General features: G+C 52.3%; 2 annotated features.

Moving 5' to 3' along the window:
• Positions 7,739-8,240: an enhancer, noted in NCBI's record as "H3K4me1 hESC enhancer chr17:76283739-76284240 (GRCh37/hg19 assembly coordinates)". NCBI's record gives its function as "activates a minimal SCP1, AML or CMV promoter by ChIP-STARR-seq in primed H9 embryonic stem cells {active_cell/tissue: H9 hESC(primed)}" and the evidence as "EXISTENCE:reporter gene assay evidence [ECO:0000049][PMID:30033119]".
• Positions 11,812-12,081: a silencer, noted in NCBI's record as "fragment chr17:76287812-76288081 (GRCh37/hg19 assembly coordinates)". NCBI's record gives its function as "represses an EF-1alpha promoter that drives an FKBP-Casp9 reporter gene in an ReSE screen in phorbol 12-myristate 13-acetate-treated (for megakaryocytic differentiation) K562 erythroleukemia cells {active_cell/tissue: K562(+PMA)}" and the evidence as "EXISTENCE:reporter gene assay evidence [ECO:0000049][PMID:32094911]".

Below are 12,507 nucleotides of genomic sequence, written 5' to 3' on the forward strand. Positions count from 1 at the left end.
GGCTGTTCCAGGGGCTGGGGATATCCCAGCAGATGAAAATGCCTGCTTTGCAGGGCTCCAGTAGGGAGAGAAAGATACAGGTGACAAGTCAGGATGAGCAAGGAGGACACACCGGTGTATGTTCCAGAAACCATAAGGAGGCTGGAGCCAGGCACAGGGAGCCCTGGGCCTTGGGAAGAGTATGGTCTGTGCAGGGGCCATGTAGTGGGAGGGGGCCCTGCAACATCAACCCAGGTGCCCTGGGGAGGTTGTGGTGGAAACAGGCAGAGCACGGAGGGAACCAAGTTCCCCGGGCAGGAGATGCCAGGGGCTGCGGCCAGGGGTGGCAGTGGAAGGGCTGAGAAGTGGTCGGATTCTGGGTTAGGAAGAGAAAGCTGCCCTTTGCCCTCTGAAGCTTCGCCGAAAAATCAGCGGACAAAAGGCAGATTCATAGGAGAAAAGGCTCACAAAATTTACTGTAACTGCATAGCACAGGACTCCCCGGACGTGATTACCCAGTAATCCAGAGGGGTCCAGAACCTGCCATGCCCTTCCTCATGGGAGAAGAGGTGGTGGGAAACCACCTCTTTGAGGCAAAGTCAATGATTTTTGGGGGGAAATGAAATGAATGGGCCCCTTGCTCAGACAATGGTTAGTGAATAATTCTCTTTGGGAATCAAATAGGACCAAAGAACAGACAATGGTTTGGGAGGAAGTTGGTCTGGGCTCTAGGTGTGGTGGTTCATTGCAGCCTCTTCCTTTGTGATGTGAGTTTTAATCTTCTCCGGTTAATAACATTTCAGGGAAGGCAATTGTGTTCCTCTTGGCCAGTCTGGTTTCTAGGTAGTTAAGGAAAGTCCGAGAACAGCCTCATCCTGTGCTTTGGGAAGACATGGGGCTGGAGGTAGGTCAGAGAGACCTTGGGGCCCCTTCTTGTCAAGGCGCCATATTTTCTGAGCCCCAACAGTGTATTTTGGGAATGCTGTTATATTTCCATCTAATTTGCATTAAGGAAAAGCTATATGTGTTTTGGTGCCTGGGTACCTGTGTTGGGGAGGCTGGGAGTGGGGACAGAGTGGGGGAGGGCATCTTCTGGGTGCTCTGCAGACCCAGGGGTCTGTGGTGTTCTCCTTCAGGGCAACCCCCCAAAACCCACCACCCAAACTCAGCGAAACTACAAGGTGGGGCTGTGATGGGGCCTAGAGGTTTATGTAACAATCATGGGAACGGAGGTCCTCACCCGTGGAGGCCCCGCTAGGGGTTGAGCCTATTCCAGGGGTTCCCTGGAGTTCACCTCTCCTCACTGCCTCCTGTTCTTATTGGTTTTCTGGTGGGGGAGGAAGGGGCAAAGCCGCTCTTCTGTGAAGGTGGATGTTTTTTTTTTGGCAGCAGCTGAAATCCATTTGCTACTAGGCCTAGGAGTAAGTGGGCGATCAAAACTGAATCGTGCAGTTTTTACTCCAAAACAAGCCCTGGCTCTTTAAGACTTGGGGCTGATTTTCACTCTCGGGTACCTGGGGCGAAGGTCGGGAAGCCAGGCCTTCTGTAAAGCTTTTAAGGACAGAAGGTGTAGCCTCCCAAGTTAGCACACTCTGGAGCCCCGAATGCAGTTGCCCTCTACAGACCTGGTCAGGGCCTCACCCTGCAGCCCAGGGGAAGGGACTGGGGGCTTTAAAGCTCTCGCAGGTCTCTGTTTGGCTGTGTGGCCCAGGACCAGCTCCTTCTACTCTCCTGCTGTGAATCAGCAGCACCACCCCCGACTTAGTAGCATAGTGTGAGGCTGACGTGCACGTGGGTGTGAATCCCGGTCAGCGCCACTCGTTGTGCCTTTGCGCTTCAATGGTCCCTGCCAAGGCTGTGGCAGCAGCTCCTGAGCTCCCCACCATACCTCGCCTAAAGCCTTAGGGACAAGTTCAGCCACCTGAGACCAAAAGCGCCCTGCCTGGCTAGCTCTAAGCCTCCAAATAACCCCTGGGATCCCAGCAGTTCTTCACTGTAAGAGTTTACTTGTGGCTGGGCATGGTGGTGAACACCTGTAGTCCCAGCTGCTTGGGAGGCTGAGGTGGGAGGATCACTTGAGCCCAGGAGGTTGAGATGGTAGTGAACCATGACTGCACCACTGTACTGTATGTAACCTGGGTGACAGAGTGAGTGAGACCCTGTCTCAAAAAAAAAAAAAAAAAAAAGTGGGCCGGGAGCAGTGGCTCACTCCTGTAATCCCAGCACTTTGGGAGGCCAAGGCGGACGGATCATGAGGTCAAGGTATCGAGATCAGGCCGGGCACGGTGGTTCACACCTGTAATCCCAGCACTTCGGGAGGCCAAGGCAGGCGGATCACGAGGTCAGGAGATCGAGACCATCCTGCCTAACATGGTGAAACCCCGTCTCTACTAAAAAAAAAAAAAAAATACAAAAAATTAGCCGGGCATGGTGATGGATGCCTGTAGTCCCAGCTACTCGGGAGGCTGAGGCAGGAGAATGGTGTGAACCCGGGAGGTGGAGCTTGCAGTGAGCCGAGATTGCGACACTGCACTCCAGCCTGGGCGACACAGCGAGACTCCGTTTCAAAAAAAAAAAAAAGATATCGAGATCATCCTGGCCAACATGATGAAACCCCATCTCCACTAAAAATACAAAAATTAGCTGGGTGTGGTGGCTACTCCGGAGGCTGAGGCAGAAAAATCGCTTGAACCCAGGAGGCAGAGGTTGCAGTGAGCTGAGACTGCGCCACTGCACTCCAGCCTGGTGACAGAGCGAGCCTCCGTCTCAAAAAAAAAAAAAAACAGAACAAAACAAAAAAAGTGTTCACAGATGGGCTTGGAGGTCCATGGTCCATCCTTGTTCTTCAGGCCAGCCAAAGGTGGCCAAATTTAGTAAAAAAGCAAACAAAAAACCAAGACACCTAGTTAAATTTGAATTTCAGAGAAATAACAAATACATTTTTAGTGTAAGTATATCCCATGCAATATGAGAGAGATACTTACTCTAAAAAATGTATTTGGCCAGGCGTGTGGGCTCACACCTGTAATCCCAGCACTTTGGGAGGCTGAGGTGGGTGGATCACTTGAGGTCAGGAGTTCGAGACCAGCCTGGCCAACATGGCAAAAACCCATCTCTACTAATACAAAAATTAGCCGGGCCTGGTGGCGAGCACCTGTAATCCCAGCTACCAGAGGGCTGAGGCATGAGAATTGCTTGAACCCAGGAGGTGGAGGTTGCAGTGAGCCAAGATCATGTCACTGCACTCCAGCTTGAGTGACAGAGTGAGACTGTGCCTCAAAAATAAAAAAAAATGTATTTGTTGTTTCTCTGAAATTCAAATTTAACTGAGCATCCTGTGTTTTATCTGGCAATCCTAGTCCCACCCTCTTCCAAATTCACATCTTTTTTTTTTTGAGACAGAGTTTCACTCTTAATGCCCAGGCTGGATTGCAGTGGCATGATCCCAGGTCACAGCAACCTCTGTCTCTTGGGTTCAAGCAATTCTCCTGCCTCAGCCTCCCGCGTAGCTGCCGTGCACCACCACGCCTGGCTAATTTTTGTATTTTTAGTACAACGGGGTTTCACCATGTTGGCTGGGCTAGTCTCGAACTCCTGACCTCAGGTGATCCACCTGCCTCGGCCTCCCAAAGTGCTGGGATTACAGGCGTGAGCCACCACGCCCGGCCCTCCAAATTCACGTCTATAAGAACGATTTTCCTGCCCCAACCATACATTTCTCACAGATAAAGGTGCATTTTTATCATTTCGTCTTTCCTGGGGCTGAAATGGCTTCTTCTTTTTGCATTTTATGGTTTTACAATTGTAGCAGTAAAACATTCTTGCCGGCAAGATGATTGAAAATTTAACTACAAAAGGCATCATTCATTTTATTTTTGTCTTCATTGGAGACATAAAATGGATTCGCAATCATCCCACCACAGTGGTTGAGTATTGTGGGTTTTAGAGTTGCTCACATAGCACATTTATACTCACCAGTGTGAGGGCTCTTTGCAGCCGCCAATGGAGTGATCGTTTGTGTTTTGGAAGCAGCAGTAACATTTATTCCTAATAATCCTGCTGCAGTGGGTTCTTGGTATTTTATAGTTGTTATTGCAGTAAAATTTATATCCTACAGAATTATGACAATATTCAGCTACTAATATGATTATTATTTGTGTGTGTGTGTTAAAACCACGGAAATAAAATTTACTCCCAACAATACAGTGGCAATTTTATGTCCCTAAACCTGACCGTAAATAATAAACATAACTACAGAATGCCTGTAAACACATAAAACATCCTTCTCGGAAAAAGTGAACTCTCCATTGCTATCCTGATGAGACCAGCAGCTGGGGAGCCTGGTCTAGCAGTTAGGGCTCCTGGGCAGACTTCAAAAGGATGAAGCAACTTCTTCACAGGACTCCTGGAGAGCAAGTTGCTTAACATTTCAGAGTCCAAGTCAGCCCGTCTCAGAGAACGTGGGCTGGTCCATCGCCTGATGAGTGCACGGATACAATGTGTGGTAACCACACTGTAGAACACTGCTTGGCCGTAAAGAGAATGCAGTTCTCATACACACTGCAACTCGGATGAGCCTTCGAGACATTATGCTCCACGAAAGAAGCCAGATACAGCCAGGTGCGGTGGCTCACTCCTGTAATCCCAGCACTTTGGGAGGCCGAGGCGGGCAGATCACAAGGTCAGGAGTTCAAGACCAGCCTGGCCAACATGGTGAAACCCTGTCTCTACTAAAAATACAAAATTAGCTGGGCATGGTGGCGCATGCCTGTAATCCCAGCTACTGGGGAGGCCGAGACAGGAGAATCGTTTGAAGCCAGGAGGCAGAGGTTTTGGTGAGTCAATATCGTGCCACTGCACTCCAGCCTGGGCAACAGAGCGAGACTCCATCTCAAAAAATAAAAGTAAAAAAAGCCAGACACAAACGATGTATACTTTTGATCCACATACTGTATGATCCCATTGAAATTAAATAGCCAGAAAAAGGCTAGGTGTGGTGGTTCACACCTGTTATCCCAGTACTTTGGGAGGCTGAGGTGGGAGGGTCGCTTGAGCTCAGGAGTTTGAGGCCAGCCTGGGTAACATAGCAAGACCCCCATCTCTACAAATAACTTAAAAATTAGGCAGGCATGGTGGTGTGCACCTGTAGTCCTGGCTACTTGGGAGGCTGAGGCAGGAGGATCCCTTGAACCCAAGAGGTTGAGGCTGCAGTGAGCCATGATCATGCTGTTGCACTCCAGCCTAGACAACAGAGTGAGACCCTGTCCGAAAAAACAAAAACAAAAACAAAAATTAAAAATATCTAGAAAAAGTAAATTTCCATAGACAGAAAGTAGACGAGTGGTTGTCAGGGGCTGGGGGAGGGAAGGGGAAATGGGAAGTGACCGCTCATGGATCCTTTTTTTTTTTTTTTTTTTTTTTTTGAGACAGAGTCTTGCTCTGTCACCCAGGCTGGAGTGCAGTGGTGCAATCTCGGCTCACTGCAACTTCCGCCTCCTGGGTTCAAGCGATTCTCCTGCCTCAGCCTCCTGAGTAGCTGGGATTACAGGCATGCGGCACCATGCCCAGCTAATTTTGTATTTTTTTAGTAGAGACGGGGTTTCACCATGTTGGTCAGGCTGGTCTCGAACTCCTGACCTCAGGTGATCTGCCTGCCTTGGCCTCCCAAAGTGCTGGGATTAGAGGTGTGAGCCACTGCGCCCGGCCTCATGGACACTTTTGAGATGATGAAAATGTTCTGGTAGGGCTGGGCAGGGTGGCTCATGCCTGCAATCCCAGCACTTTAGGAGGCCAAGGTTGGCGGATCACCTGAGGTCAGGAGTTCGAGACCAGCCTCAACATGAAGAAACCCCGTCTCTACTAAAAATACAAAATTAGCCGGGTGTGGTGGTGCATGCCTGTAATCCCAGCTACTCGGGAGGCTGAGGCAGGAGAATCACTTGAACCTGGGAGGCGGAGGTTGCGGTGAGCCGAGATCGCACCATTGCATTCCAGCCTGGGCAATAACAGCGAAACTCCGTCTAAAAAAAAAAAGAGAGAGAAAATAAAAAGAAAATGTTCTGTGGTTGACTACAGTGATGGTTGCACAATTCCATGAATTCACCAGAAGCTGTTGAGTGTATACTTTCAATGGGTGAATAGTGTGGTGTTTAAACGCTCTTAATAAAGTTGCTAAGGCCGGGCACGGTGGCTCACGCCTGTAATCCCAGCGCTTTGGGAGGCCAAGGCAGGCGGATCACCAGGTCAGGAGTTTGAGACCAGCCTGGCCAACATGGTGAAACCCCGTCTCTACTAAAGATACAAAAAAAAAAAAAAAAAAAAAATTAGCCGGGCGTGGTGGCACACGCCTGTAATCCGAGCTACTTGGGAGGCTGAGGCAGGAGAATCGCTTGAACCTGGGAAGCAGAGGTTGCAGTGAGCCAATATCGCACCATTGCACTCCAGCCTGGGCAACAGGGCGAGACTCTATCTCAAAAATAAATAAATAAATAAATAAATAATAAATAAAGCTGCTAAAATGAAAAAAGGAAGAAAACATGCTTCTGTTCCTCCTGCCCCCCACCCCTGCCTCCCCTGGGCTTTCAGCTGCTGTCTCTAGAGAATGTTTGGAACAGGTGTCTGGGAATAGCTAACAAAATCCCTCTGGCTTCTCCTTGCCTTGTGGGTTATGGATACTGCCCCCTTCCTCCATCGTGAAATGAAAAGTGACATGACCCTAAAATCTAAAAGGACCATAAGGCCCATTAGGCAATCTCAAGAGAGCCACCTGCAAGGGACAGAGGTGTGGCAGCAGCCCTGGAGAGAAGGAGGCCAAGCAGAGAGGGTGCAGGCTGCCAGGATGGAGCCTCTGCCCGCCACTCACTGGGCAGCAGTGGAGCTGCCTCTGCCTGTATCATCCCCATTTTATGAATGGGGAAGCTGAGGCAGAAGCAGTGATACAGCCAGAATGAACAGTCTTAGGCATCGTCCACAGACCAGCGAGTTACTCCACCAGGTGTCTGTATCACCCAAAGAACCTGAAGTGCATGGGCTCCTTGCGAGCTTTTTTCTCTCAAAAAAAAATTGTGGGGCTGGGCGCCGTGGCTCACACCTGTAGTCCCAGTACTTTGGGAGGCCAAGGCGGGTGGATCACTTGAGTTCAGGAGTTCAAGACCAGCCTGGGCAACATGGCAAAACCCCGTCTCTACTAAACACACAGACAGTTTGGCTGTAGTGGCGCATGCCTGTAGTCCCAGCTACTTGGGGGACTGAGGTGGGAGAATCGCTTGAGCCCAGGAGGCGGAGGTTGTAGGTGAGCCGAGATGGTGCCACTGCACTCCAGCCTGGGCGACAGAGTGAGATCCTGTCTCAAAAAAACTGTGGTAAAATAGGCCGGGGGTGGTGGCTTACGCCTGTAATCCCACCACTTTGGGAGGCCAAGGTGGGTGGCACCGGAGGTCAAGAGTTTGAGGCCAGCCTGGCCAACATGGTTAAACCCCTTCTCTACTAAAAATACCAGCGTTAGCTGGGTGTGGTGGTGCGCACCTATAGTCCCAGCTACTCGGGGGGCTGAGGCAGGAGAATCGCTAGAACCCAGGAGGTGGAGGTTGCAGTGAGCCGAGATCACATCACTGCACTCCAGCATGGGTGGCAGAGTGAGACTCTGTCTCAAAAAAAAAAAAAAAATTTGTGGTAAAAAACACATAGCATAAAATTTGCCACTTTAGCCTTTTTTTTTTTTTTTAGACAGAGTCTCGCTCTGTCGCCCAGGCTGGAGTGCAGCAGCACGATCTCGGCTCACTGCAAGCTCCGCCTCCCAGGTTCACACCATTCTCCTGCCTCAGCCTCCTGAGTAGCTGGGACCACAAGTGCCCGCCACCGTGCCTGGCTAATTTTTTGTATTTTTAGTAGAGATGGGGTTTCACCATGTCAGCCAGGATGGTCTCAATCTCCTGACCTCATGATCCACCTGCCTCGGCCTCCCAAAGTGCTGGGATTACAGGCGTAAGCCACCGCGCCCAGCCAACTTTAGCCATTTTTAAGTGTTTCAATTCAGTGGCAGTAAGTATCTTCACATCGTTGTGTGACCAAGTGTCAGAGGTGACGTGGGCTGTCCAGGACACATGACTGGTGGGAACTACAGGGTCCCCGTCCTGGTCCTCACACCGCTGTTGGCCCTGGACAAGGTATGTCTTCTGAGTGCGACCAGAGGCCCAGAGAGCACGGGATTGGCTGCGGTTGCCAGTGCCTGGGGCAGTTCCCGCTAATGCCATCGTCCTGGGGATCCCCTTGAGTCCCCTGCTCCTGCTTCTTAGTTTGCTGCACCCCAGAGGGTGACTGGGACCCCCATGCCTGGGACACTGGTTGCATAGGCAGCTTCCAGGGCCACCCCAGACCTCCCAGCTCAGAGTCCTGGGGCCTGGGGCTGTGAGTTAATCAGTGTCCAGGCAACCAGGGATGCCACAAGAAGTCAGGAAGTTTCCAGACTTGCCTGGTCTCAGAATTATCTAAGCTCCTTTTTTTATTTTTTTTTTTTTAAGACAGGGTCTCGCTCTGTTGCCCAGGCTGGAGTGCAGTGGTGGGATTTTGGCTCACTGCAGTCTCAACCTCCAGGGTTCAAGTGATTCTTTCACCTCAGCCTCCCAAGTAGCTAGGACCACAGGCGTGTACCACCATGCCCCAGCTAAGTTTTTAAATATTTTGCTGAGACAGATCTTGCCATGTTGCCCAGGCTGGTCTTGAACTTCTGGGCTCAAGCGATCCTCCCAACTTGGCCTCCCAAAGAGCTGGGATTACAGGTGTGAGCCACTGCGCCCGGCCCATCTGAGCTACTTTTAGAAGTATAGGTTCTCTGGCTTCTCTCCAGCTGAGACCAAACCACCTCTGAATCTATTGTTAAGAGGTACAAGGGGCTTGTGATACAAAAGTGGCAAAGCTGGACAGGCACAGTGGCTCATGCCTGTAATCCTAGCACTTTGGGAGGTTGAGGTGGGCCGATCACTTGAGGTCAGAAGTTCAAGGCCAGTCTGGCCAACATGGTGAAACCCTGTCTCTGCTAAAAATACAAAAATTAGCCTGGCATGGTGGTGCGTGCCTGTAGTCCCAGCTACTCGGGAGGCTGGGACAGGAGAATCACTTGAACCTGGGAGGCGGAGGTTGCAGTGAGCTGAGATCATGCTGCTGCACTCCAGCCTGGGCAACAGAACAAGACTCTGTCTCAAAACAAAACAAAACAAAAACAAAAACAAACCTGCAAGGCTGTCGGTTCATGCGCTCATTCCTTCACTCATTACTGCAGTCCTACTCTGTGTATTCATTATTGCAGTCCTACTGTGTGTGCCTCACCTCTGCAGCCGGATCCTGCCCCAGCCCCAGGCATGAAGGCATGGAGCCCCTGCCTGTGCACGTCCTTCTTCCTGGGCTACCCTGCCTCTCCCCTTGTGCCTGACATTGAGGGCTGTGAGACCTCCTACTCGTCACCCCTCAGCCAGCTCTGTTTGGCCCCCCAAAAGCCTTGGGACCTCCTCGGGTCCTGGACGTGGGACTGGCTCTGATTCTAGCCTCTGGGCTGGGCTGCTGCTGACAAGTGTTCAGCTCCTGCTGCTCAGATGAATGAAGGGACAGAAGGCGGGTGTCTAGGCATGGCCGGGACCTGGGATTCTATTTTTTTTTTTTTTTTTTGAGATGGAGTTTCGCTTTTGTCGCCCAGGCTGGAGTGCAGTGGTGCGATCTTGGCTTACTGCAACCTCTGCTTCCAGGGTTCAAGCGATTCTTCTGCCTCAGTCTCCCTAGTAGTTGGGATTACAGGCGTGCACCACCAAGCCCAGCTAATTTTGTATTTTTAGTAGAGACGGGGTTTCTCCACGTTGGTCAGGCTGGTCTCAAACTCCCGACCTCAGATGATCCGCCTGCCTCGGCCTCCCAAAGTGCTGGGATTACAGGTGTGAGCCACCATGCCCAACCCCCCAGCCAGGACGGGAACTTCTTAGGATCCGGCTGCAGCCCAGGGCAGAGGAGTTCCCGCGGCTTCCTCCAGTGAGTTAAGTCAGGCCTGAGTGAGCATCTACTCTTTCTGGGCCGCTAGAGGGAGACCTTCGCAGCCTCGTACTTGGCTCAAGACACCAGGCTAAGGGGTGTCAGTGTGTGTGAGTGTATGTGTGTGTGTGAGTATGTGTTTTGTGTGTGTGTGAGTGGCGTGTGTGTGTTGAGTGTGAGTGTGTGAATGAGTGTGTGTGTGTTTTGTGTGTGAGTGCGAGTGTGTTTGTGTGTTGAGTGTAAGTGTGAATGAGTGTGTGTGTTGTGTGTGTAAGTGCGAGTGTAAGTGTGTGTGAGAGAGAGTGTGTGTGTCCTACCTGGGCATGCACGGGTGGGTGTGGGCAGTGACCTGAGCCCTGCACGTACTGCCAGGTGGCCCGGCTTGCCAAAGGTGGGGAAGGGTTATTTACCCAAAGTGGGAGAGACCTGCAGGCTGGGCGGCAGCGGCAGGAAGAACAGCGAGCGAGGCCACAGTGGCATCCATGGAAGATGTTATTTGGGGCCTTTTCCGTGCCTGCTACTGTTCTTCGCATCCTGCGTGTATCACGAGAAGCAATCCTATCAAAGGAGGACCTATGAATACAATATCCACTTTACAGAGGAAGAAACTGAGGCTCAGAGAGGCTGAGTCACTTCCAGAGCTGAGATTTGAACCCAGGGAGTGGGGGCTGGGGCCTGGGCTCCACAGCACAAAGGAGCCCTGCCTGCTGGGACAAGGAGCTGCCTTGTGGTATGGCCAGTGTGCCCAAGCCAGCCTTTGGAGCCCGCTGGGCTGGCTCTGGGTTCCAGCTCTGCCGCCTGCCTGCTGAGTGTCCTTGGGAAAGTCCCTCCACCTCCCTGAGCCCCGCTTTCTCCTCTGTAAGATGGGACTAATGACACCTATTTCTCTGGTTGTTTAGAGGTTTAATGGTTCACTGTATGCAGAGGGAGGCAGACTTCAGGGCCTCCTCAGGAGCCTTGGCATGCGGCCACAGGGCCTTTGTATGTACTGTGTGTGCGCCTAAGATGCCCATTAGAAAGATAAGATGCCACCTCACTGCGGACTCCCCTTAATCTCCCTGCTGCAGGGCCAGCTCCAGGGGTGTGTGACCTATGGAGGTGCACTGGTCCCCATGCTCAGAGCACGCTGTGCTGGGTTTAATGATCTCCGTCACCATTTCGAAATTCTTAGTGATTTTTTAACAAGGAGCCCTGCATCTTCATTTTGCACTGGGCCCTGCCAGTGTCACAGCTGGGCCTGCCCTGCAGTTTCTTTTTCTTTCTTTCTTTTTTTTTTGAGATGGAGTCTCGCTTTTGTTGCCCAGGCTGGAGTGCAATGGCATGATCTTGGCTCACTGCAGCCTCCATCTCCTGGGCTCAAGTGATTCTCCTGCCTCAGCCTCCCAAGTAGCTGGGATTACAGGCGCCCACCACCACGCCCAGCTAATTTTTGTATTTTTAGTAGAGATGGGGTTTCACCATGTTGGCCAGGCTGGTCTCAAACTCCTGACCTCAGGTGATCCGCCCACCTCAGCCTCCCAAAGTGCAGGGATTACAGGCGTGAGCCATGGTGCCCGGCTGCCCTGCAGTTTCTCCTCCTGCGCCGTGCCCCGCATGATCTGCCCCCAGCGAGGAAGGAGACTGAAGAGCAGCAGGGAGGGTCCCTGGAGACAGAGCGGGCAGAGTGGGCTCGACGCACCCCTGACACCCATCAGCAGGCGCCTTCCTCAATGCGGACAGGCAGACCCTCCTCTCTTGGGCACACACTCAGTCAGCCCCTGGGTCAGTTGCTCCTCCTAAAATGGGACTGACAGTTGAAGACCTCCAAGCTTCCCAGTCATAGCAGTGGCCCCTCTCAGCCCACACCCAGTCCACTCTGGATTGCTAGTGGGGATCCCCCGAGACAGGGTTCTCCCCCAGGCTGGTCAGCCCCACATCTGTGAAGCTTTCTGGGCCTCTCCACACCCCCAGTTCTCTGAGGCAGGCGGGGTCTCCAGGGCAAACTCGTGTGAGCCTCACCTGTGTGTTGCACCGTCCTGTCTGCAAACAGAAACCCTCACGCTGCCGAGCCGATGCCTCTGTCCCCAGCACCTCCTTGGGGACGGTGGACTCCATGGTCAAAGGGCCAACTCAGGGGAGCCACAGTATCTGTGCTTCAGGCAGCCCGAGTTGAGGACGTGTGGCATTCTGCTGGCATCGTTCATGCCTCACTCTTGGCTCTGGGGCTGGGCACTTGCTTTCTGGCCCAGCCTGCCGCCAGGGTGAATGGCCTCTGGGGCAGATGGCGTTCTGGGAACAGGTAATGTCCTGGCCAGCGGGCAGGCCGGAGCTGGAGCCTGGGTGGAGGGCTCCCCAAGGACCACCCTGGGTCCCACTCGGCTTTCCCTGCGTGGGGGCGACACTGTTGCCAGTTACAGACCGCCCAAGAGTGCCCCGAGATCTAAGCATAGGACACAACAGGGGCTGGTCTCATCCACCTCGGATCCACCCACCTGCAGCCCAGTCCGGCTGTGTCCCTCAGGTCACACTCACTGT

The sequence above is a fragment of the Homo sapiens genome, chromosome 17 (assembly GCF_000001405.40).
Source record: "Homo sapiens chromosome 17, GRCh38.p14 Primary Assembly".
Taxonomy (NCBI): Eukaryota; Metazoa; Chordata; class Mammalia; order Primates; family Hominidae; genus Homo; species Homo sapiens.